Genomic DNA, 27,192 nt, shown 5'->3' on the forward strand with positions numbered 1-27,192 from the left:
TCAGAAAAATTATCATGCTCTTGGATGTCATGGCAATGTCACTTGCTATAAAACGTCTAGGCATGTACTTACCAGTTCCTTCTCTTGTTAGAAACTGACAGCAGTCCACAGGCTATGCTCAGAGTAGCACCTATCTGAAAGGACCCTGGCCAGGGTAGCCTAAAAGAGGTGGATGGCAGGAGACCAGACTAATGAATGACATTTTGAGTAGTACTTTTAAGAATACCAGCTTGGGAGAGTGAAAAACCTCAGTTCTGGACCAATTCTGCTCCCTAACCTGCTGTGAGACTTGCAGGCCACTTCCTGTCTAGGGCTCCAGTAAAGTAGAGGATTTGGCTGATGTCTCTAAGCTGGACCTCACTGTCTCTGAAGCAACATGTGGTACAAGCAGAAGGTAGTAGGCGTTTGGGCTGCAATAGAAAGAGCTCAACATATGTAACTTGAGCTGTTTCCTGTAAATGTCCCATTCTCTGAAACCTTTTGCTTGTCGTAAAGTGTGTTTAATAATGCAACATTATGACAATTACTATACTAATCCTATCACTATTCTGTAAGTGGGATTTATAATATTTAATTGCCTGAAAATACAAATTTGCCATGGAATAATCTTTTGTACAGAAAGGAAATGGTGTAAAATACTTGGGATGGGGAAGCCAGAATATATTATTACTAAAGTCTCTTTTTTTTTCAGGAGAGAGAAAAATTTTCATATATTTTACTATATTTATGCTGGTCTTCATCACCAAAAGAAGCTTTCTGATTTCAGACTTCCTGAGGAAAAACCTCCTAGGTAAGTGTCAGGGGGGTTGGTTGTTAATTTTTGATGAATGTACGATTAGCAGTTGACAAACTTGGAAGTAAATGGAGCTGTTTTCCTAACTGGAAACTCACAGTCTATTTAACTAAAGTGCCCAGGGTGAGGTGGCAGGAAGTATCCACCATTTTCATTGTCTAGAAAGTTCAAAAACTCAACTGCACATGGTTTATTTTTTTTCAGCCATTTGCATCATTATTCTACCACAGTATTAGACTATAAAGGAAATGGGCTGGGTGTGGCGGCTCATGCCTGTAATCCCAGTGCTTTGGCAAGCTGAAGTGGGAGGATTACTTGAAGCCTGGAGTTTGAGACCAGCCAGGGCAGCATAGTGAGACTCTGTCTCTACAATTTTTTTTTTAATTAGCTACTCGGGAGGCTGAGGTGGGAGAACTGCTTGAACCTGGGAGGTCGAGGCTGCAGTGAGCCAAGTTCGTGCCACTGCGCTCCAGCCTGGGTGACAGAGCAAGACCCTGTCTCAAAAAAAAAAAAAAAAAAAAATTAGCTGGGTGTGGTGGCATACACCTGTAGTCCAAGCTACTCAGGAGGCTGAGGCAGGAGGATCACTAGAGCCCAGGAGTTCAAGGCTGCAGTGAGCTATGATCACACCACTGCACTTCAGGCTGGGCAACAGAGTGAGGTCCCATCTTTAAACAAACAACAAACAAAAAATGGAAATGCCTGTACTACTTTCCAAGTCAGTGCTCATTCTGTTTGGTCATGCTCCACTTCATTTAGGTACATAGCTGATGAAACTGGAAGGGTGATGCACGACATAACTTCCAAGGAGTCTTACAGAAGACAATTCGAAGCAATTCAGCATTGCTTCAGGATTATAGGGTTCACGGACAAAGTAAGTGATGATCAAGAGAGGAACTCAAGTGACAATATTCTTATATGAATGTGAGTAAAGATGTGGTATTTCTCACTTGGGATAAGACACTTGCTTTCAAATGCCATGTTGGTCATGTTATAAGGTCTTGCTACTCAAAGTGTGGTCCCAGGACCAGAAACATTGTTATCACCTGAGAACTTATTAGAAATGCAGACCCTGAGGTCTATCCAAGAATGACTGCATCAGAATATAATCATTTTAACGAGAAGTCCAGATGAACATCAAACTAGGGGAGCACTGTTTTAAGGACCATGTGCTGATAAATTGTTATCATTGTCATCAATTCATTACACGTGTAATAACAAATACCAAAACAATACTGTGGGTTTTTTTTCTGATTGAGCGTTCTTCCAACCATTAAAGTGAACGGGGGGTAGGAGTACAGGAATATGTAGATGACACCCAAGTCACAGAAATATATTTATGCAAGTAGCTCCTTAGGTAACAAGACAAACTAATTAAAACCCTTTCAACTTTCTTGCAGTTATTTCCTTCTCCAGGGTACACAGTTGCACATTATTAACTATAGCTCTAAGTACTGTACTACTTTTTTTTTTTTTTTTTGAGACAGAATCTTACTCTGTCACCCAGGCTGGAGTGCAGTGGCGGGATCTCAGCTCACTGCAACTTCTGTCTCCTGGCTTCAAGCGATTCTCCTGCTTCAGCCTCCCGAGTAGCTGGGGTTACAGGTGTGTGCCACCACACCTGACTAATTTTTGTATTTTTAGTAGAGACGGGGTTTCACCATGTTGGCCAAGCTGGTCTTGAACTCCTGACCTCAAGTGATCCACCTGCCTCAGCCTCCCAAAGTGCTGGGATTACAGGCATAAGCCACCATGCCTGGCCAATACTGTACTACCCTTATCATCCTAGATACAAGCTGTCTGTATTAAATATATGCTAGGGGTGACAGACAATATTTATAACCCTAGGCTCAAATATTACTCTGTGATACATTATGTCATAGTTTCTGGGCTTCATGCCATCAATTTTGCAAAATATATAGATTCTTTTGCTTTTCCAACAAAGGGGGTGAATTATTAGGAGGTAGGTGAGAGTGTTAAATCTTAAGGGATTAGATTACAAGACACTCCAGTTACCCTGGGATGGCCACTCCAGATAAAGGATTACTTCTGTGTAATGCAGTATGATTGGCTAGCCCTTCCCTCCCCTGCATGGTTGATTTTAATCATAATAGTACCTTTCTTTTTTTTCTGTCTAGCCAGCTGTTAATTTTCTCTGTCAGCCTCCCGCAGACTTTAAACTGACAGACAATGGAAAATCCCAAAGGTCAGATAAAAATATAAATATATTTTCCTTGGCTTCTTAGAGGGGGGCAATTAAACAGGTTCTAGCATTGTTAAAGGACCTTTGTGGTTATTAACTTAAAGAACAGGTTTTTTAAATCAAAGATGCATCCCCAGAAGAGTTAAAGCATGGTAGGAATGGCAGTGGAGCAATTTAAAGTCACTTGTGTCATGCCAAAGTACGCAGGGGCACATGTCCTTAAAAGGGTACAGGAACCATAGAGAAGTCAAGGTTAATAATCATTAACAGAGTTAATATTTTGTTTTCTTTGAGTACAAATATAGTTATAGAATACTGTGAAGAGACTGATCCTAGCTGAACCCATTTATGCCTAGTGTTCCATTATTGGAATGCTAAACATGTGGGAGTTATTTATACCCTACTGCTCAAGGTCATCACCAAGGTCTGATTGCAAAAATTCAAAACATTGCAACCTCAGGCTTAGGTGGGTTAAAAGAAAGTATATAATGGTGCCATTCTAATAATAGCAATGTACTGCTAATAATAATAAAACAGATGCTATCTGTTTCAGGATAAACAACGTTGAAAACTGTTAAAATCTGTTTTAGTACAACAACACTAAAGCATTAAAAACAGAAGAATTAAGTATGTTAAGTATATGTCCTTGAAGTAAGCCATCCCTAGCCCCTCTGGGAAAAAAGGTACAATAGAAATAAATGAATGACTGTATGAATAAACATGAAAAGAAAAAAATGTAAAAGATGGTGAACATTTTTCATTTGTGCCTGGTCTGTACTGTTAAATGAATAACCAGAATGTAATGGTGTTATGTGTGTATATTTTCACCATGTCCCACATTAATTCATACAGGAAATAAACCAATTTATATAAGCTGCAACCTTAGAAATGAAAGGAAGAAGCAGGATCTTCTCTCTCCAACTCTGAATTCTGTGGTTCTATCTCTGCTGACAACCTGTTTTGCTGAGTTAACTCAGTTCACTTCATGTTTATAAACTCAAAAAGTAGTGTGACTAAATTCAGAAAGATCCAGTTGAAGGTAGTCAGGAAACAGATGCCAAATGCTGATGTAACAGAACTTTCTCTTAAGTTTTTCTGGCAGACATTTCTAGATAAAGCTTAAATGAACTGATCAAGTCAATCAAAATTATGGTTCTTCTCCTTTCTTACAATGTCACTAGTTCCCTGCAGGAATCCCTTTAGTTTTTCTCAAACCCTTACAGCAAAATTATGAGTAGCAAACTTTAGTGTGGAGTCAGGAGCATGAATTTTAATTCTGGGACAACAGCCAAAGTATCTGAAAGAACACTTGACCCTGAGTTTATTGTAAAGAAATTTCCCTGGTGGAGGAGTCTTCCACTAATAATGATGATGACTCCTTGTGGAGGGCTGGGGGATTATACCTAAGACCTTATTGTGAAGATTGTGCTTTTCAACTCTTATTTCTGGAGCCAAACCATACTATTTTTGTTTAAAATTATATTTGTCTTCCTGGTAGGAATTAACATATTACATAAATTGGGTTTTAGATATGTTTCTATTTAATGCTACATGAAAACTTTTTGGGCAGATGATCTATGTGATGGTCAAGATTGGACGTACACTATAGATCCCTGTTGGAGAGGTTAGGGAGAAGCCTTTGAGATCGGCGCAAAATTTCTTCCCTTTCTTCAAAATAGATTATGAATTGAGAGAGTACTGCTCTGAAGAGAGATTGAAGGATTATATGTGAAAATATGACTCGGGAGTCTTGAGGATTTCTAATGTCTTGATGACAGACAATAGGATACCATTGACTTTTAAGATGACAAAAGTTGTGAGCCTCTGCAAAGGAGACCGAGAAGTGTTGGAACAGAGCCTGTGGGGAGGTCCTTCAGCTGGTCCTAATGCAGTGCTTAGGGAAGAACTGATGAAAAACTGACGAGATTTACAAAAAAGAAAGAAAGGAAAGAGAGACTGGGAACGGAAGTAAATTCCTAGGGATATACCAGAGAAACAACTACCGGAGATGCCTGTGAGCCAGGCCAAGGGGGATTTTCTTAGAGTAGCGCCAGGCTAACAGAGAAAACTAAGTTTTCTCTCTACTTTTCAATTAGCCTCAACTCTATCAAGAGAATACTACATCAAAAGAAGTGTCTTATGAGAAAAGAGAAGAAAATATCAGACATCCTGCAGTGGGGCTTTGATGGAGAAATGCTCTTTCTTCCCCACTGTTGTTGATTGGTAGTGAAACAGTTTATACCCATCAACAATAAATTGAGAAACCCAGTTGGAGGACTTGGTCTTCTTGAGTAAAGCTATTCCACTTTATAATATAGAAAGCTGAAAACTGGTAGAAATAAAAAGAGACAGCAGCGTAGCAAGATTCTGCAGAAAAGGCAGAGATGCCAGGAAAGGCTCTGTAGCTGGAGATGAAGCAAGAGAAAATGGACAAGGTAAAGAAGGTGAAAAAACCTTCCCTGGCTGTCTGTTGGGGAGACAATAAGAAAAATTTGATTGAAAAGTTTTAAGGCAGGAAGAGTAATCCCTCAGGTGGACATATAACTAATTGAATTTTGCCATGAGTGTAACTGATGTTTTGACCTGAAAGCAGAGGCTCCTAGATCAGAAAGGGAGAACTAATTAACCCAAGGTTAGGACTGATGGAGTCAAGTGGATGGAATAGCCCAGAAATATAAACTCCTTAATAAGGTGAGCATTGGTTACCCCGCTGTTAGTTCTCACTAAATCAAGGAAGGAGACCCAATCGGTCATTAATTTCAGTGATTCACACAGTGTTTGAACCTAAAAGTTTTTCTCAGGGTCATAGATAGTTTTTCACTTTAAATGGTTGTCTAGGCACTATGCTGAAGAGGGTAGTGCCAGAGAAGCAACGGGGCAAGATGCTGGTTTCAAGGGTATAGTCTTTGACAGTCATTTTCTATGGTGATTATCCCAGTGGTGAAATGCTGGAAGTCTTATTTTGGGAGGTTTCAGAGCTTGTACTGTAATACATGAAGAAAGAGAGAGAGAGAGAGTCTTTGTGTGATGTGTGTTTTAATTACAGGAAATACATTTATTTTTTCTAAGAGTACTGAGAGTTTCAGATAACCTCGATATAGAAACAGCTGATGTAGAACTCACTGCAAGAGTCTCTGTTTTACCCCCTGGGATCTGCCTCTGTGGGAGTTGCTCAGTGTAGTGAGCAAGCCTCACACTGTATTGATCAAAGTAACGAGGTGCTGTCATGTTAAATCCGAGCAAGTCCCAGAAAACCTACTTAGTAGGTGTTCTCCTTAGCCACTCTTAAGTTGGGTGATTAAACAATGATTCTTAAAGTAAAAAAAAATGACATATTGCCTTTGATTTAGAAGTTGGAAGAATAACATTTATCCATTGTAGAAGCCTCGTTTAAAATCTTCATTTGTCTTTGTAGCATTATCAGGTATCCAGCAGATGTCACTATTATAGTCTGTGTTCCTTTTTTTGGCTTTACTGAGTAATGTTTATAGGAAGTTGTAATCTGTGAGGCAATGCTTTATCAATGGTCCAGTGACCGTTCCTATTCCTTTGCTGCTGTGTAGAGTACCAAATCAAGTTACCTGCCTGAGTATTTTTGTGAAAGTACTTTTCTCTGTCTATAAGCATAAAATGCAAAATTTTCCTGGCTATATATTTCGTTGTTTCACGTATAGAAAATGTAAGTTTTTAAATAAGTAAATACACCTTAATTTCTTTTTACCATTAATGATACATATGTATTCAACTTTCAATATAAAAATAGAGCTTAGATAATCGGAACCGTTTTTACTCACATTTCTGACACCAAATATGTGGGTTTTTCTCCCCCATACCTGCAAATTATCTGGCACCAGCTGGGTGTCCTACAATTCACTCAATTCTGACCCTCTCCACCTGGAGTTAGCATCAGATCCCACAAGCTAAGGGCTCAGTCCCACAAGACTACTCTGACTCCAGATACCTATACTTCTGTCTCCTATACTTCTGACTGACTGGCTATAAATTGAGAGTCCCCACAATTCCCTCCTCAGGTTGGATAATTTGCTAGAATAGTTTCTAGAACTCAGGAAAACACTTTACTTACCATTACTGTTTTATTATATAGGATACAACTCTGCTGGGCGTGGTGGCTCATGGCTGTAATCCCAGCACTTTGGGAGTCCGAGGCGGGTGGATCACCTGAGGTCAGGAGTTCAAGACCAGCCTGACCAACATGGTGAAATGCCATCTCTACTAAAAATACAAAAATTTAGCTGGGCATGGTGGCAGGTGCCTGTAATCCTAGCTACTCAGGAGGCTGAGGCAGGAGAATCACTTGAACCTGGGTGGCGGAGGTTTTAGTGATCCATGATCACGCCATTGCACTCCAGCCTGGGCAACAAGAGCAAAACTCTGTCTCAAAAGAAAAAAAAAAAAAAAAAAAAAAAGGATACAACTCAAGAATAGTCAAATGGAAAAAATGCATATGGCAAAGTATGTGGGAAGTAACATAGAGCTTCCATTCCCTCTGAGCACACCACTCTCCCAGCACCCATGTGTTCACCAACCTGAAAGCTCTCCGAATCTCATCATTTAGGGGTTTTTACGGAGGTTCCATTATATTCACATGATTGGTTAATCATTGACCATTAGTGATTAACTCAATGTCTAATCCCTCTCTGCTCCCCAGAGATTGGGTTGAGGAGGACCCAAAAGTTCGAACTCTCTAATCACATGATTGGTTCCTCTGGCAACCAGCTCTCCATCCTAAAGCTATCTAGAGGTCCACCAAGAGTCACTTGCTTAGTATAAACTCAGGTATGGTTGAAAGGGGCTTGTTGTAAATAACGAAAGACTCCTAGCATTCCTATCACTCACTTTCAAGGGTTTTAGATGCTTTTGTGCCAGGAACTGGGAGCAAAGAACAAATATAATAGTCCCTCCGTATATGTGAGGGATTAGTTCCGGGAACCCCCAATTCATATACCAAAATCCAAGCATACTCGAGTCCTGCAGTCAGGACATGAAAAGTCAGCCCTCTGTATATGTGGGTTTCACATCTTGTGAATACTGTATTTTTGATCCGTGTTTGGTTGAAAAATATCTATGTATAGGAGGACATGTGCAGTTCCAACCTGTGTTGTTTAAAAGTCAGTTGTTGGTCAGGAGTGGTGGCTCACGCCTGGAATCCCAGCACTTTGGGAGGCTGAGGTGGGCAGATCACCTGAGGTCAGGAGTTTGAGACCAGCCTCAACATGGAGAAACCCCATCTCTACTAAAAATACAAAATTGGCCGGGCGTGGTAGTGCATGTCTGTAATCTCAGCTAATCGGGAGGCTGAGGCAGGAGAATTGCTTGAACCTGGGAGGCAGAGGTTGCAGTGAGCCGAGATCGCGCCATTGCACTCCAGCCTGGGCAACAAGAGCGAAATTCCGTCTCAAAAAAAAAAAAAAAAAAAAAAAAGAGAGAGACCAGTCTGGCCAACAGGGCAAAACTCCGTCTCTACTAAAAAATACCAAAAAGAGCTGAGTGTGGCAGTGCATGTCTGTAATCCCAGCTACTTGGAAGGCTGAGGCAGGAGAATTGCTTGAACCCGGGAGGCAGAGGTTGCAGTGAGCCGAGATTGTGCCACTGTACTCCAGCCAGGGTGACAGAGCAAGACTCTATCTCAAAAAAAAAAAAAAAGGTTAATTATATATATTTCTTGTTATATAAAAATATAATTTAATATACAATTATCACAGATAATTTCTAGTGAGTCTTTCAAAATATTTCCTGACTTCATAACTATATATTCCATCATTTAACTTTAAAATGTTCTAGGAGCCATGAATGAATGTCTTCCCAACTACTTCATAAAAGCGATATTCAAAAGAGGTTAAGGAAACAGCTCCTCTCTTGCTTTGAACAAAAGATCATACCTGAATTTGGGAGCTGGTATTAGTTAGGGTAAAAGGCTGAAAGTGGCTTAAAGAACAAAGAAGATTAGTTATCTCTTAATAACCATTTCCAGATAAGAGGTTCAGGTTGCAGAGCAACTCCGTTTATGCAATTGTTGGTCTAAGGCATCCTCATCAGTGGCATGGTAAGGCTGTGCTGGGAGTTCCAGCCGGCAATAATGAGAAGGAAAGTGTGGAGGAGGCATGCTCATGCCGGTAAGGCCTGGGCCCAGAAGTGACCCACGTCATTCTGCTTGCTTCATTGTTAAAATGTAGTTATATGACGACCTCTAACTGCAAAGAAGTTTGGGAAATTTTGCTGTGTGTCCAGGAAAAGAGGGAGAATGGACTTTGGTAGACAACTAGTAGTTTCCACTACAGGTCTAATGGTTCATTAGTTTGACTGGCAATGACCTTCATATATGGTTCTTGATGTCCTTTTCAGGAGGTGCACTCAGTGTACAGAATTTTGGCTGGGATTTTGAATATTGGGAACATTGAGTTCGCAGCTATTTCCTCTCAACATCAGACTGATAAAAGTGAGGTGCCCAATGCTGAAGCTTTGCAAAATGGTAATTATTTGATATTTGTGGGCTGTGTTGTTGCCAAAGCACGTGCTTCTTTAGGCTCTGTAAAATATAATGCAGCATTTGCTGGTCCTTTTTTTTTTTTTTTTTTATCGAGATGGAGTCTCACTCTGTCATCCAGGCTGGAGTCCAGTGGTGCAATCTCCGCTCACTGCAACCTCTGCCTCCCAGGTTCAAGCAGTTCTTTGCCTCAGCCTCCAGAGTAGCTTGGATTACAGGCGCCTGCCACCACGCCTGGCTAATTTTTGTATTTTTAGTAGAGACGGGGTTTCACCATCTTGGCCAGGCTGGTCTTGAACTCCTGACCTCATGATCCACCCCCCCCCCCTCGGCCTCCCAAAGTGTTGGGATTCACCCAGCCTGCTGGTCTTTCTAATGGCTCTGGATGTTTTCATGAACTAGTATTTCCCCAAGGATGTCCTGTGGAACACCAGTGTTCCTTCCATAAGCTGCAAGTATTCTGCAGAAAAGAATTCTATGGCAGGTAATTTTGAGCAGTGTTTTTTTCTTTTTTTTTTCGAGGCGGAGTCTCGCTCTGTCTCCCAGACTGGAGTGCAGTGGCGCTATCTCGGCTCACTGCGGGCAGTGGTTTTTAACCTTGGCTGTTTTAAAAAAATCATCTACAAACTGAAAAAGATACAGGAGGTTGGGCCCATTCTGAATCCACTAAATCAGCATATACAGGAGAGAAAGCAGGCGCCTATTTATTTTTAAAGTTCCACGGGTAATTATGGTGGCACAAAGAGTGAGAATCCTCAAATATGAACAACAAACAAACAAACTGATTTAAATGAAGTAAAAACCTTTTTGTGTTAAAACTGTAGGACATTTTAGGGCCTTTAATATATGAATGTATTTTGTGACTAAGGGTAGAATACAGTCTGCACCTATTTCCCCAATTTATTTGGCAAAAGACCACCTCCTCTTCCTTTTTTTTCATCAAGCATCTATGAAGTAAGAGCTTTCAGAACAGTTTGGGAGATACTGTGTCAGTCTGGAAGCTTCTTGGGGTTAGGGATCTAGCCTGTTTATCTTTGAGTCAAAAGTACCCAAATGGAGTCTGGCACATAGTAGATGTTGAATAAATGCTGAACAGACTGACTGAATGAAGGTCTGGCTACATTCTGTGTTATCCTTACTCTTTGTTTCAGCTGCCTCTGTTCTGTGCATTAGCCCTGAAGAGCTCCAGGAGGCCCTCACCTCCCACTGTGTGGTCACCCGGGGCGAGACCATCATCCGTGCCAACACTGTAGACAGGGCTGCGGACGTTCGAGACGCCATGTCCAAAGCCCTGTATGGGAGGCTCTTCAGCTGGATTGTGAATCGCATTAATACACTCCTGCAGCCAGACGAAAACATATGGCAAGTTCCTCGGAGAGCAGAGGGTCTCAGGAGAGCTGTCATTGACCCCGCCGTCTCTTAGAGTTTGCAAAAGGAAGCATTTGGTCCTCTCTGGGATTTTCTTTCTTTTTCTTTTTTTTTTTTTTTGTGGAGTCAGAGTCTCACGCTGTTGCCCAGGCCGGAGTGCAGTGGCACGATCTCCGCTCACTGCAACCTCCAACTCCAGGGTTCAAGTGATTCAACTGCCTCCGCCTCTTGAGTAGCTGGGATTACAGGCGCGTGCCACCACGCCCGGCTAATTTAGGCATTCTCTTTTAGAAGACACAGTGAGATCCAGGACAGTTGAAGCATTTGTACCCGAGAGGCAAAGGACTGAAGGAGCCACTAAGTGTAGTATTTGAGAGAATAGTCTTGGCTGGGAGCTGGACAAACTGGGTTCGCACCCAAACTCTACAGCTTAACCCATTTATGCCTGAGGTTGCAATTTTTTGAATTTTTTCATCAGACCTTGGCGATGACCTTGAGCAGTAGGATGTGAATAACTAACTCCCATATGCTTTGTGTTCCAATAATGGAACACCAAGCATAAATGGGTTTTAATCAGCTGCATGTTCTAAGTCAGTTTTCTCACCTGTAAAATGAGGATAATAATATCCTCTTCATAGTTTTGTTTTTAGAATCAAAGAGACATTTTATGAAAAAATTTAAAGCACACTATCTTACATTACTATTCCTACTTCTTCAACTACTTTTCCTTGCTCTTTCCTAGGCGTAGTGGTTTCCTATATTGTGGAGGAATTCACCACATCAAATTCTGAAGAGTACTCTTCCAGTTATCCTTGTGGGTAGATAGGTGGGAGAATAAATAAGCAACAGCTGCAACCCCTTCAAACAAAAGGACTTTAAAAATTTTATTTTATACATGGAGTTTCTGAGTAAGATTTTAAAGGATTCTACTGCTTGAAAAAAAAAAGAAGTTGAAAATACTATTGAAAGGCCAAAAGAACAAATAGTTTGAGACATAAACTGCTTCTTTTCTTAGGGGTGGCAGGATGCTGCTTTCCATGAGTGGGTGAATTGGGTACTTGAGCTGATAAGCACTTGGGCACATATATTCTCATCCTCTTTAGGTGGGTGTTTCCTCCCCTAAAGAGTTTTGTTCTTCTCTCTCATGCAGTAGTGCAGGAGGTGGAATGAATGTGGGGATCTTGGATATCTTTGGATTCGAGAATTTTCAGAGAAATTCATTTGAGCAGCTCTGCATAAACATCGCCAATGAGCAAATCCAGTACTATTTCAATCAGCATGTTTTTGCTCTTGAGCAGGTAATAGTGAACTCTGAGGTAACTAAACTTGATGGGGAAAAGGTGTCTCCAAGCTGCCCACAATTTGTAGCAGAAACCCTGTAGACTAACAACTAAAAGACCCTAGAGAGAAAATAGGGTAAGGCAGTCCTGGCTAAATAGTCTAAATTTGTCTGGAAAAGGTCTCGATTTCTGTGGAAAGGTACATTTCCTCACTTGAGTGGAGCTGGTGACAAGTCACTCATTTAAATTTTGTGTCAAAACTCTTTCGTGCATATTGCTCAAAATACTGTATCTCTTCTACTTTATTTAACTAAAAATATTTATGATTGCGTTCAAAATGACACAGATGACCTTGAATTCGGGACATAGGTTCTTAACTGCTACACTAGCCCTCCCTATCCCCTATCTGCTATATACCAGATCCCACAGTCACTGGAGAGGTATCTCCAGGGAAGAGTAAGATGTGTTCTTGGTTTTCTAGAAATGGAAATCATCCCTCTATGAGTTTAATAATAAATAAGACAGAGTAAGAAACTAGTGGACCCAAGGGATGGGGCTCTTTTCCTGTGGCAGCAGCCTATATAGCAGTCTGATCAACCCCAACCTTTACTTAAACCTTAAGACTCTCTTCTGTATGAAGTAGTTGCAATAATGAAACATTCTGGCTAAGCCTCTTCGATGCAGGGATAATTGTTTTAATGCAGGCATGAGGACGCACAAACTCAACTTCGATGAGATAGACACAAAGACATTTAGTGAAAATACCAGCATTGCTTTTATCTCTGGAGCTGGATAAATCTGTATAGCACTCCTCTCCCATCCACTCTTGTTTCAGTCCAGGTTCCTTCCATTTATTTCCCGGTAATCTGGAGTTTTTCTAGTTTTCCAACCCTAGATGATTCCTTTGTCGAACTCCTTGCAGAAGAGAAGTCTGTTTTCTTGGTTTAAACAATATTTCTCACCAAAATAAATTTTTTTTTTCAGCTTCACTTCCTTGTACATTAGTTTCTAAATGATAAGTTACCAAGTCCACATTTGAGAGAGATGTTTTACTGGTTTAGCTGCTGCCATAGGCCACTTGTAAGTCAGATTTAAGTGCACAGCTTTAATGGTGTTATATGCAGAAGATTCCTTTATTATACACATAAAACATATCCTGCTTTCCACATGCATTCAATGTTGCTAGACCCAGAAAGTCCATGTCAAAGTATCCTGGTGGTCCCAAGGCTAGTTTTGGGCTGGAGAGAATCACAATCCATTTCCCTCCAGATGGAATATCAGAATGAAGGCATTGATGCTGTACCCGTGGAATATGAGGACAACCGCCCGCTCTTGGACATGTTCCTCCAGAAACCCCTGGGACTGCTTGCACTTTTGGATGAGGAAAGTCGGTTTCCCCAAGCAACTGACCAGACCCTGGTTGGTAGGTAACTTCTGAGAAACAGGCATATACATTTAGAACAAAACTTGGCTTGTGTCATCAATTGAGTGTACTTTAATGAATTTACCTTACATATTTTGTTTATATGGTGGTTTGTAAGAATATAGGCCTTCTTTTTCATTGAATTGAAGTGTTGTGGTAGAATTTGAATGTTAAAGCAAACCCATCGCTATTCCTAACACCTTCCCACTTTCCTATTCTTGCCAACATGATTAGCATTACCCCCATGTTGATTTCATTTTTACACCTTCCTCTCTCTTCTTTCCTATAGGCAATGTTTGCTTCTCCTCCTTTGTGTGCCCCCATCTCATGTCTTCCCCTGTACCCCCATCCACCTCTAATCTGATTTCATGCAGAAGCCCTTTCCAGTCTCCTGACTTCCAGGCTCCTACCTGCCCCATCTACCCTGGACATCCCAGCTAGTTTAGTCTTTCTAAAGCCACCTTCTCATTAGGTTACTATTATCTACAGGATGAATATAGGGCACCTCGTCCTGACATCAAAGGCCCTCTATTCTGTACCCTATTCTTGAATCTTCAGTGTTTTTCACAACCTTTGTTCCTCACTTAGATTGCGAGGTGCTTGGGGCAATGAAGCCTCAGTCTTTATGTGCCTTTAGTGCTTAGCAGTTTCTCATACTTAGTAAGCTTTCAACCACAATAGCAAAGATCGTGTGTTAAAGGAGGAACAAAAAGTTTCAAGCCTTTTCCCCAGCTGGAAAATTGATTTGTGGCAGAGATTCACTTTTATGAGTTGAAATTATAACCCTCAGTGGTTTTCTTTTATATATAACATTGTCACAAGTTGTCCAGATGAGTTTAAACCAGGTTCTAAAACTAACTGGCAGGGCCTCTGGTGTCATCAGTGTCCATGCTAGGAGTTCTTAGAAACAGCAGGAGAATATACGATCTTAGAGCACAGCCTGACATTAAGACAATGCTACACAACTAAGCAAGGATATAATGATAAATGCCCATCATATCGGTGATCTTTCTCCACCCTTGTTAATATCAAGGCCTTATTCTGAAAGCCCTTATTCTGAGTCATTCATGGCTTGAGGAACAAGTTTTTGTTTGAAAGAGGAAATAATTCACATTGTAACTCTCCAACATAAAAATCCACACAGATAAATTTGAAGATAATCTACGATGCAAATACTTCTGGAGGCCCAAAGGAGTGGAACTGTGCTTTGGCATTCAGCATTATGCTGGAAAGGTGAGGCCAGTGTGACAGTTATTAGACCTGAATTTGGCAAAGGGTAAGTGTCTGTATTACCCTGTCTGTGCTGCTCATGAAATTGCTTACAGATTTCTTTCCCATTTTAATTCTTCCTGAATACCTAATCATAATTCTTAAAGTTTCTCAGTGGTGCCACTCACAGAAAGTTGCCCCTGGCATAGAAGCAATTTCTCACTGGGGTGGCCCACAGTGTTGCCATCTGCTTCTCACCTGAGGTTTGGCCTAGAACTGACAGCTCTCCAGAGAGAAAACACATTACAGCTTTTTGCGGTGTTTAGCAGTAAATGTTCACATTCTAAAGTCATTTGGAGACATGTAGGTAATGCAGGAAGGTTAATATCACAGTGGGACTCAATTTTTAGTACTTTAATCATATGTCTAAGGGCCCCAAAATGTCCAGATGAAAAGAAAAAAAAATTCACATTATTATCCAGATGTTAAGCTTTTACAACTTAACTGAAATGTCCACTTTTCATACATTATGCCTCAGTCTCAATTTCAAGTTCCTGAAGCAGATTAGTGACTGATTCAGGAAATTCCCTATCCCATAACCACAAGTTCCTTGCTTATGTTACTCCCAAAGGAGCCATTTGAATTATGGCTGATTGGTTCCTCTGGGCTCTGCTGAGGCTGTAGGTCCAGAAAATTGGTAGGAGTTCAATAAAAGACATTTTTGATTATTTTATTAATTTCAGATGTATTGAAATTGTCATTCATATTCACATCATGGCATTGGAACTGATTTTCCTAACTGGATGTTGGGAAATTCTAGTACAAGGGAAGGGGATTATTTTTCTCTCCACATAGTACTTTATGGTATCTATTTTGGATCTTTGTTAGACATTGCAATTCAGTTTTTGCCCTTAAATATTTTATTTACCTTAGCATATTAAGGTCCTCCTCAGAGTCTGAAATACCAGCATCTACCCTGATTCCCCTCCCCATTCCTCTTTTCTGCCTCCCATTCCTGTCCTCCTCTTCTCACCTCTCTGTCCTTTTATAACTATGTCCTACCCACCCGTCTTCTTGACTCTTACTATTTTCCTTTCTTGATTTTAGGGGAAAAACTTTTTTTATTTTTATTTTTTCTGGCCTCTGTGTCCTTTGCTGCATCCATTTGCCATTCAAAGCTTATTTGTAGAGAAGGAATTCTCTGAGGGTGTTCCTTAAAATTTATCTGAACTGGATCCCCTCTGTTCTGAGAACCAAGAACTACTCAGCATCCTTGAGTGATCACTCAGATCTCATGAGGACCTAGGGAGGCAGTGAGAGTACTTAAAGTGGTTGTGAGCATAGAGTCAAACTGCCTGAGTTTTGATACCTACCTACCACTTGTGAAATGTGTGACCGTGGGCACATTACTCAGCCTCTTCCTAAGTCTCTGCCTGCCTACCAGTAAAATGGAGATAATAATAGTGTTTACCTCATAGGATGGATGCTTTGCACATGGTATCTAATATATTTTAATAATTATTCTGATGTGATTTATCTTTGATAGTAGTCTTCAAAAAGCAACTAGACAGGCCAGGTGCGGTGGCTAACACCTGTAATCCCAGCACTTTGGGAGGCCGAGGCGGGTGGATCACGAGGTCAGGAGATCAAGACCATCCTGGCTAACACAGTGAAACCCCATCTCTGCTAAAAATACAAAAAATTATCTGGGCGTGGTGACATGTACCTGTGGTCCCAGCTACTCGGGAGGCTGAGGCAGGAGAATCACTTGAACCCGGGAGGCGGAGGTTGCAGTGAGCCAAGATCATGCCACTGCACTCCGGCCTGGGTGACAGAGTAAGACTCCATCTCAAGAAAGAAAAAAACAAAACAACAACAAAAGAAAACCCATAAAAAACAAAAACCAAAGCAACTAGACAATAAGTTAAGATAAACTGGTCTGTCAACATCATAATTATTCCCTTTATCTGGTGCTCTGGATATGAAAGCTATGTAAAGATGAGTTCTATATAGAGGTTGATTAACAACTGGTTAGGCAAGTTGCCAGTGTCACCAATGACGGACAGTTGACTTGGCTAATTTGCCGTTTGCTATTCATGTTACAGGTATTATATGATGCTTCTGGGGTTCTTGAGAAAAATAGAGACACTCTCCCTGCCGATGTGGTTGTGGTCCTGAGAACGTCAGAAAACAAGCTTCTTCAGCAGCTCTTCTCAATCCCTCTGACCAAAACAGGTACTTGGGAACCCTCTGATAGCCCTGCTCTTAAAGCTTTTGCAAGACCAGGTGAAATTTTCCAGTTAGTGTCTGAATACTGCCAGGGCTGCACCGCTAACATTGAACTTCTTTAAGCAGGAGTAAGGGTCTAAATTCAAGAAAAGGAAAATGTTTGTTTCTTTTGTAATTGAATTGTGCAGCATCCGTGTGTACACAGACACGTGTAGCTGCACACATAAACATACATACACTATCCATAACATCAACTCTTAGACTTTCTTGTCCTTCTTTTCATTCTTCCCTTTATAAAGCCATACGATATCATTAATTCATGCTAAGCAATCTAGGATAGTCTCAGTTTACCAAAACTTATCAGGAAGATTATTTCTACTTGTGTGTCATTCCAAGTTAAAGGAGTGTGTTGAATCAGAGTTCAGGGGATCCTCAAAGATCACCTTGGTCCAATTTCTACCCAGTTATGACCCCACCCTACCTCTCTCCTAACCAATTTGGAACAGGTCCATCACCTATGTATGTGGCCTTTGCCTACTTACAGTTACCTTCTGTTTAATTGCTGTCAGTCCTCATGCCAAAAAAGCAGGAAACTAGGGCCAAAGAACAGAACTTCCAGGTCTTAACTGTTTTTCCAAATGGATTCTAATTGAGTCAACCTTTTAGAATGTACCTGGGATTCTGCTGCTTTTAGCTGGGCGGCCAACTCAGCCTTCTCACAGCTCTACTCTCAAGGGCTTTGTGTTTTTTAGGCTAGGTCTGGAAATAGCAGTGGGCATGCTTTTAAGAAAAAGAGGAAGAGAAACCTTTTTATCACTGTTCATTGTTCACTATTTCCTCTTCTTTTCTTCCCACATCCCTCTTAACTGGCTGCCAGGTCTGATTTTTAGCAGCTTGCAGAGGAATGAAAAGCCTGGCTAAGAAAAAAAAAAAAGCCACAGTCTACAGCCTTTGCTTCATCTTAACTTGGAAGGAAAGTTGAAATCCGGCTCTTTTTTCAGACATGCTCCTGTAAACAGAACTAGTAGCAGTGCCCATCAGAAGGCTGCCCTCCAGCTTCCATTCCAGACCTTCCTTGGAGCAGCCGGGGTTTAATTCAATATGGAATCCCAGGAGCTCGGGGCAGGTGTGGAAAGGGCTATCTGGTGTTTCCTTACCAGAGACCCAGGGATGTAGACTCCTCATCAGGCGACTTCAGCACAGAGGTGAAGAGACAGCCATTATTGATAGGGGACATGCTCTCTGGGAAAAAAATCTATCCAAATAACTCTTCAGCTGGCATTTACATCCTCCCACAAATATTAATAACGACTTGTCAAATCTGTTCACAACTTCGGAATTTCCGATTTTTCAACCTTTGGCAAAATAAAAACCATTTAACAGCCTGGACCACTAGGGGGCGCTATGCAGAAAGTAAGGCCCTGCAGCCGGTCTCTGTTCTCCCTTGATTCACCCAACTGCGGGAGGAACAGGAACAAAGAGATAACCTCCGCCGCTGCGTCTTTTTTACCCCTCCCAAAGAGCTTTCCTCTTGTTTCTGAATCTTGTTTTGAAACTACACTCCACACCACTTGATAGAAACAAAAGTGAAAAATAAGACTAGACACAAACGTGATGTACCAATAGGCTTCCCAGTATTCCTGAGCTATATATTATGCATAGTAATTTCCTTTGAGATCCTAAGCTTGAGTATAGCTTAGGATTCTCCACATTTTGAGTATAGTTAAGAAGCCACAAACATCAAAACTTATAAGCATGATTGTGTTTTCTTTTTCTGGAATTATTTATGTAGGAATGAATTCAATCAACAAACATTTAAAGAACAGCTTCTAGTAATAAGGTACTTTTTAGGCAACGAGGGAAATATAGGAGTAAAGGTAATACGGCTTTGCCGTACACCAACTAGAACTTTCTTTTAACTTCATTTTCTATATGGAATTTTCTATACAGAATTGGGCACTAATTTATCTCCTTATGACAATAGTTGCCCTCAAACCTCGATTCTAACATGATTGTGCATCCTGTGTTGAATGTCAGAATATTACTTTTCTAAATTTTAAAACGTTCATAGTCTATATTTTTGGGGGTTATTATGTTACAGCCTTTGAAGATGGGAAACCTCACTGGACAGAAATAAGTTATGCTGTTCTTTGCCAATGCTTGTTTCAGGCATGTCCCTCTCGTGAAGGGGAAGGTGCCTATACATCTTGATGTTCCCACTAGAAGCAAGATCCCACACTATCCTGGCACTTTGGAAAAGAATATGCTAATATTTTCAATGCATAAGAAACCATTTTCTTGTCACTTTTATTTTTCCTTGCTTTAATTGTTTTATCGAAATTAAATGGAGCACTAGTTCAGTAAGCATATATATTATGGTCAATTACTTTACAAACCTCTTTTGAGGAATGAACTACAGGGAGGAAGGAAAAAGATCAAAGTTGAGGCCAGGCGCGGTGGCTCACGCCTGTAATCCCAGCACTTTGGGAGGCCGAGGCAGGCGGATCACAAGGTGGGTGGATCACGAGGTCAGGAGTTCGAGACCAGCCTGGCCAACATAGTGAAACCCCGTCTCTACTAAAAATACAAAAAATTAGCCGGGTGTGGTGGCGGGCACCTGTAATCCCAGCTACTAGGGAGTCTGGAGCAGGAGAATTGCTTGAACCCAGGAGGTGGAGGTTGCGGTGAGCCAAGACCATGCCATTGCACTCCAGCCTGGGAACAGTGCAAGACTCCGTCTCAACAAAAAAAAAGAAAAAAAAAAAAAAAAAAACTTGGGAAACCTTAGAGGCAATTAGCTCAAAGCATAAAAGGAGGTCCAGTGCTGGACTCCTCAATTTTGAAAGAGGAGAAGACGTTTGTTAGGAAGACCCCTAAGAGATGTTGGCAGTGGTCTGGCTCCTGATCTTGGTGGTGGTTACATGTATGCTTGCATTATATTTATTATGCTGTACATTTATGTTTTGCATACTTTTTTGTGTGTGCATTCTGTGTCATAGTAATGTTGGGTTTTTTTCTCCAAAAGATAGAGAAGACCCCTTAAAATACAAAGAGAAAAAAAAAGCTTGATGTGGTAGCGCATGGCTAGAGTCCCAGCTACTCAGGAGGCTGAGGCAGGAGAATCACTTGAGCCCAGGAGTTCAAGGCCGGTCTGGGCAACACAGTGACACCCCCCATCTCTGAAAAAAAATTAGAATTAAAATTGTTTAAATGCAAAGAAAAACTTTAATTTCTTTATCGAAGGATTCCTGACAGTTAACTTGAGGTTTTCTGGTAGCTAGATTGCCACTGTCCTTTGCTTTCAAAACAGCCCCAGGATCACTTTCCTGTTCTTTCAAGTTACCTCCTCTCTGGGTTGCTGGGCAGGTAACATTCCCTTCATTAGTATATATCAAAAAAAGTATAGTCATGCATAGCTTAATGATGGGGATGCATTCTGAGAAATGCATCGTTAGTTGATTTCATCGTTGTACAAACATCATAGAGTTCTTACACAAACCTAAATGATATAATCTACTATACATCTAGGCTATATGTTGTAGTCTACTGTTCTCGGGCTGTAAACCTGTACAGTATGTTACTATACTGAATGTTGTAGTTAATTGTAAGACAATGCCAAGTATTTGTGTATCTAAACATATCTAAACATAGAAAAGGTACAGTACAACTATGGTATGATAATGTTACAGGACCACCAGTTTATATGCAGTCCATTGTTGACCAAAATGTACATGGCGCATGACACTACTGGGGCTTGATTTAATTTCTTATCAAGGTTGAGAGGATCAACCTCGGTGTGTATATGTGCAATCATAATATAAAATCATAGAGAGTAATCCAGTTGGTATTTTCTTGTTTCCAGCTCCCACTTTCCAGACTATTGAAGAGATTAAAAAGCATGAGGAGTAGAATAAGGAGGCCCAAGGTCACCAGGAGACAGGGCTCCTCCCAGGTTTCTGCAGCCCCCTTCTGCTTACACCTGGCTGCATCTGGCTGTGGAGCTGCCTGTGCCTGAGAGGCACACTCTCACTGCAAGGTTCTCAGTGACCTTGTGGTAAAAGGAGGCAGCCACAGTCAATATGAATTCTCTCTGTTCTCTTCTCATGCTTATGCAGCCAGCCTTTTGCCTGCAGATGGGCCACTTCAGACATGATGAAATGTTCTTTGTAATACTTCCTATTGATAGGAAATCCTCTGAAGATTTTAGGTGTGAAAATTTGAAGTAGCAGCAACACTGCTTTCTAACCCTTCGGCTGAGACTTTTCAAACTGAATGATCTAGATAGAAAAACATTAAAAGGAAGGATGTTATAACATGGTTTCAAGGCATATTTTCCTGTTTGGGTAATGTTCCACTTGCAACTAGTAAACTGAGAGAAAAGCTTAAAAGGCTCAGGGGAAGAAAGAAACAGAGTTTCAAAAAGAACTTGAAAATTCATTTTTGTCTTTGAATCATGAATTCTGACTTCCAAATAGTAGTTTGGGGTGTTAAAGAAGTTATGAACTTGGGAGAAACTAGGAAAAATAAGAATAGCACCAGAGGGAACATTCTCTGAACCTCAAAGTTTGATTTTTGCTTCAGAACCTAGAACTGAGTTTTACCCTCATTGCCTTCTTCTGTCTGAAGACTCAGGTCTCTTCCATGGGATTTGATTTGCAGTGAAAATCAACAATAAAGTATCTGTTTATTGACTTCTATTTGCTCCTCTTTTTTTGGATGGGGGAGACAAGATGAGCCCCTACATTGTCATATCTGTAAAGCACTATAACACCTTCACTGCTGAAATCCTTGCAGTCAGTTTTCCGAGTCCTGATTCTGTAATGCCCAAAATGAATTAAGCTCTTAAGAGAGCGCCTTTTGGTATCCATCTCTCAGTTTCCATTTTCCACTTATGGCTGTTGGTCTATCCTGATAGTTTAGCAAAAGGGTCTAGCAGATGAGCTGAATCTAATTGACAAAATTTCAGGGCCACAGACATGGATAGTGCTGGCTCTTCCTGAAATGGAGGCTCTGATGAGCCAGCCCCATCAGGGAGGCCTGGGGAGTGAGTTCCTCCTTACAAAGAGACCCACTTCTTTCTATTTAATTTGGGAAGTGTATCTCAGTCAATAGATAATTATGTATTGAGAATCTGTCTAGATATGGTGCTATGTATAGGTTATTTCTAGAAGTAACACAACAAAGTCCCAGCTAGAATGGCCAGAGATCAATAGTGCCAAATCCCAAAATGTATAAAAGATGAACAAAAAATCTACATTCTGAACAGGCATGCAAATCCATAAGTGAAGCAATATAACAACTATATCCATACAAATAAAAATAGAAGGAAATGTCAGGGAAATGTCATGGGTAAACATGAGGAAAGACTTCTTTTAACTAAGAAAGGCTTATTGGAGTGGTGTCTGTTTGTTTGTTTTTAGTAGAGACTAGAGAAAATTGGACAGTCTGGGAGTAATGAGGCATTCTAAGCCAGGGCCTACAGCACTGGAAAGGAGAAGGGAGTGGAAGTTAGATGATTAAATGAATAGGACAAGGAGGAAAGACCTCTTTGGGCAGAGGGAGGTTGTGAGGAGGAAGAAATGATGGCAGGCTGCTGAGCAGAGGATGGCTCGTGATGCTGATCTGAACTGCCGTGAGTGGTGGGGCTGTGCTCTTGAAGAGCACAGCTTTAGGGTGAGAAAGGAAAACTTGAACAAGGGTGTTAGAGACTGACTAGTGAGAGCCAGGGTGCACCCACGGTGTTGTGTGTATATCTGTGTATGAATAGGTGCTCAGTTAATACTTTCACATTCTAGATTTAGATTTAGGATCCAGTTTGAGTAAATTTCTGTATAAAATGTAAGGTTAAGATGTTTTGGTTTTTTTCTTCATAACTATGCCTAGTTGTTCCAAAACCATTTGTTGAAATAACTATCCTTAGGCCGGGTGCGGTGGCTCATGCCTGTAATCCCAGCACTTTGGGAGGCCGAGGCGGGTGGATCACGAGGTCAGGAGATCAAGACCATCCTAGCTAACATAGTGAAACCCTGACTCTACTAAAAATACAAAAAAATTAGCCAGGTGTGGTGGTGGGCGCCTGTAGTCCCAGCTACTTGGGAGGCTGAGGCAGGAGAATCGCATGAACCTGGGAGGCGGAGGTTGCAGTGAGCCGAGATCACGCCACTACACTCAAGCCTGGGTGACAGAGCGAGACTCCATCTCAAAAAAATAAATAAATAAAATAACTATCCTTTCTCCATTGAATTGCTTTTGCACCATTGTCAAAAATCAATTGGTTATTATTTATGTGGTTCTGTTTCATTGATCAAACTATCTCCCTCTTCACCAATACCACACTATTGCAGATTCATAGTAAGTCTTTTTCTTGAGATGGAGTTTCACTCTTGTCACCCAGGCTGGAGTGCAATGGCGCGATCTCAGCTCACTGAAACATCCATCTCCCAGGTTCAAGCAATTCTCCTGCCTCAGCCTCTTGAGTAGCTGGAATTACAGGCCCCCACTACCACGCCTGGCTAATTTTTTGCATTTTTAGTAGAGATGGGATTTCACTGTGTTGGCCAGGCTGGTCTCGAACTCCTGACCTCATGATCCACCCACCTCAGCCTCCCAAAGTGTGGGGATTATAGGCATGAGCCACAACGCCTGGCTGTAGGAAATCTTAAAATCAGGTAGTATGATTCCTTCAACTTTATTCTTCTTTTTCAAAATGGTTTTGGCTGTTCTAGCTCCTTTGTCTTTCCATATAAATTTTAAATGCAGCTTGTCTATATCTATAAAAAGTCCTGCTGGGATTTTGACTAGAATGGCATTAAATCTACAGATGAATTTAGGAAGAATTAGCAACCTTGCTATGTTGAATATTCCATTCCATGAACATGATATGTCTATTTATTTGGATCTTCTTTGATTTATTTAATCAATATTTTGTTGTTTTCAGCATGCAGATCCTGTACATGTTTTATTAGATGTATAATGAAGTATTTCAGTTTATAGAACTAGTATAAATGGGTTTTTTATTTTGATTTTAGTTATTCATTGCTAATATGTAGAAATACAGATGACTTTTGTGTACTGACTTTGTCACTCACAACCTTGCTAAACTTACTAGTCCTAGAAGTCTTCTTGTTTTTGTTTTTGTAGATTCCTTGGGATTTTCTGTATAGATAATCATGTTGTCTGTGAATGAGAACTCTTTTGTTTCTTCCTTTCCAATCTTAATGCTTTTTATTTCTTTTTCTTGCCTTATTATACTGGCTAGGACTTCCAGTATGATATTGGATAAAAGTGGTGAGAGGAGACATATTGCTTTGTTCCCGATCCTGAGGTGAAAACCTTCTGTCTTTAAACATTAAGTATGATGTTAGCTGTGGGTTTTATGTAGGTGCCTTTGCACTTACTGTTCCCTATATCTGGAACTTTTTTTTCTTTCCTAAGACATACCCATGGCTAACTTCTCTTCATTCAGATCTTTTCTCTAAACCTACCTTTTCTGGCTATCCTATCTAAAATTTCAACCTATTCAACATTTTATATCCACATTCCTGTTTTATTTTTCTTCTTAGCACTTACTATCACCTTACATACTACATACATTTTACTTATGTATCATGTTTATTGTCTGTCTTTCTTCACTATAATGTAAGCTCCAAGAAGGTAGGGAATTTTTATCTCATTTGTCCATTACTGTGTCCTCAAAGCCTTAAAATATATCTGGCATATAGTAAGCATTCAATATATTGTTGCTCAATAAATGAATAGATAGATGAGCCAAATCGACGCATCCACCCGCATTGTTCCTGTTTGCTCTATCTTCCTTCTATATATTTTTTTCACAAAGATACCACATGACCAATGTATCTGTCTTCCTTCTGGTCTAAGGGCTTCTGAACCATCCCTGCTCTTCTTACAGGTAAGATGCTCTCTACTTGTACGCAGCATCCCTTCCTCTCTTACCTCCACAAAGATTTTGATCCTGTAGGTATTTCTCATGTCTTCTGCATATCTGTTTATTCCTCTTGATGTGGTTGTTCTTATCAACATAGTCTCTTTCATCTTTTCAATTATTTCTTATGGGTTGAATTGTGTTCCCTCCAAAAAAAGATACATTGAAATCCTAAGCCCCAGTACCTCAGAATGTGACCTTATTTGGAATTAGGGTATTTGCAGAGATAGTCCACTTAAAATCATGTCCTTAGGGTGAGCCCCTAATCCAATATAAATGATGTTCTTATAAAAAGGGGAAATCTGAACACAGAGACACGCACCAGGAGAACACCCTGTGAAGATGAAAGCAGAGTTCATGGTGATGCATCTGCAGCATCGCTCACCTGAACCTGCTAACTCAACTCTGCTTCTCCACCTGCCTCATACAGCCCAACAGCCATCTTAAAAGATACAAACTAGACCGGATGCAGTGGCTTACACCTGTAATCCCAGCACTTTGGGAGGCCGAGGCAGGTGGATCACTTGAGGTCAGGAGTTCAAGACCAGCCTGGCCAACATGGTGAAACCCCGTCTCTACTAAAAATACAAAAAATTAGCCAGGCGTGGTGGTGCACGCCTGCAATCCCAGCTACTTGGGAGGCTGAGGTAGGAGAATCACTTGAACCTCAGAGTGGAGGTTGCAGTGAGCTAAGATTGTGCCGTTGCACTCCAGCCTGGGCAACAGAGCGAGACTCCGTCTCAAAAAAAAAAAAAAAAAAAAAGATACCAACTAGATCATGTCATTCCTCTGTTTAAAGTTTCCACTGGATCCTCATCACACCTAGAATAAAATCCAAACTCCTTTTTTTTTTTTTTTTTTGTACACACAAAATCCTATGTGATCTGTCCCTGCCTGTATCTCTGTCCTCACTTCCTTGAAGTCTTTCATTTACTCTGTTTTTGTTTTGTTCCTTAGGTATTCCAAGCCTTTTCCTGACTCTGCTCCAGCTGCTCACTCTGCCTGGAACACTCTTTCCCCAGATCTTTTTTTCTGTTGTTTTTTTTTTTTTTTTTTTTTTTGAGACGGAGTCTCGCTCTGTTGCCCGGGCTGGAGAGTGCAGTGCCGCGATCTCGGCTCACTGCAACCTCTGCCTCCCGGGTTCAAGCAATTCTCCTGCCTCAGCCTCCCGAGTAGCTGGGTCTGCAGACATGGGCCACCACACCCGACTAATTTTTTTTGTATTTTTAGTAGAGACGGGGTTTCACTGCGTTAGCCAGCATCTCAATCTCCTGACCTCGTGATCTGCCTGCCTCGGCCTCCCAAAGTGTTGGGATTATAGGCTTTTCCAGATCTTTATGGGTCCATCTCTTTCTTCTGACCCAGAATTTAAGCTCAAATGTCACCTCCAAAGAGAGGTCTTCTCTGTCTACCCAATGGAAAGTAGCCCCTCTCTTCCCCACTCATTCTATCACATCATCTGTTTAACTGTCTCCTTCAAGAGCCAACATACATCTATCTCTATCCCTGCCCCCACTCCATGCTAGCCTGTAAACAACTTGAAGATAGAGCCCTTATTGGTCCTGTTTGCTACTGTATATCCTTGACCCAGAGCAGTGCCCAGTGCATAGAAAGTATTCAATAAATATTTGTTAAATAACTCAGTTAACTACTGCAAGATAGAAACTAAAGTTGAAGGCCAAGTCTGGACTCCCAATCTAAGGCTCTGTATTAGTATAATAGGGCTACCATGTCAGAACACCACAAACAACAGAAATGTATTGTCCTTGTTCTGGAGGCTACAAGTTCAAGATTCAGGTGAAGTCAGGGTTGGTTCCTTCTGGAGGCTCTGAGGGAGCGTTTGTTCCAGGCCTCTCTCCTGGCTCCCAGTGGTTTTCTGGCAATCGTTGGTGTTCCTTGTTTCTGCACCAACCCTCTGTCTGCCTTCACCTTCACAAGGTGTTCTCCCTCCATGTCTGTGTTTAAGTTTCCCCTTTTTATAAGGACATCATCAAAATGGATTAAGGATCCACCCTACTCCAGTATGACCTCATCTAAACTTATTAAATCTACGAAGGCCCTATATCCAAATAAGGTCACATTCTGAGGTACTTAAGGGCTAGGACTCCAACATATGAATTTTTTAGGGACACAATTACACAATTCAATGTATAATAGGATCTTTCTGAGTGGGAGGGAATGGGGGATTGGGAGAGCTTAAGGTACTGAGGCATCACCAAGGAGGAGGGAGTGGGGCTGCC

The 27,192-nt window shown here is 41.0% G+C and overlaps 1 protein-coding gene across 11 annotated transcripts in view; it reads left to right on the forward strand.

Annotated features, from left to right (window-relative positions):
* MYO3B (myosin IIIB) overlaps positions 1–27,192 on the forward strand; it is a 477,021-nt gene that overhangs the window by 212,682 nt on the left and 237,147 nt on the right. For all 11 annotated transcript variants that reach the window (NR_045682.2, NR_045683.2, NR_045684.2 and 8 more), the window contains 8 exons: positions 692–790; positions 1,553–1,667; positions 9,360–9,486; positions 10,653–10,863; positions 12,020–12,167; positions 13,419–13,572; positions 14,717–14,805; positions 16,887–17,016. Coding sequence is in view for 8 of the 11 variants with exons in the window: in NM_138995.5 (NP_620482.3) it covers positions 692–790; positions 1,553–1,667; positions 9,360–9,486; positions 10,653–10,863; positions 12,020–12,167; positions 13,419–13,572; positions 14,717–14,805; positions 16,887–17,016 (1,073 nt within the window). In the remaining 3 variants the exon portion in view is untranslated. The remainder of the gene's footprint in view (positions 1–691; positions 791–1,552; positions 1,668–9,359; positions 9,487–10,652; positions 10,864–12,019; positions 12,168–13,418; positions 13,573–14,716; positions 14,806–16,886; positions 17,017–27,192) is intronic.

Source organism: Homo sapiens, chromosome 2 (assembly GCF_000001405.40).
Source record: "Homo sapiens chromosome 2, GRCh38.p14 Primary Assembly".
Classification (NCBI taxonomy): Eukaryota; Metazoa; Chordata; class Mammalia; order Primates; family Hominidae; genus Homo; species Homo sapiens.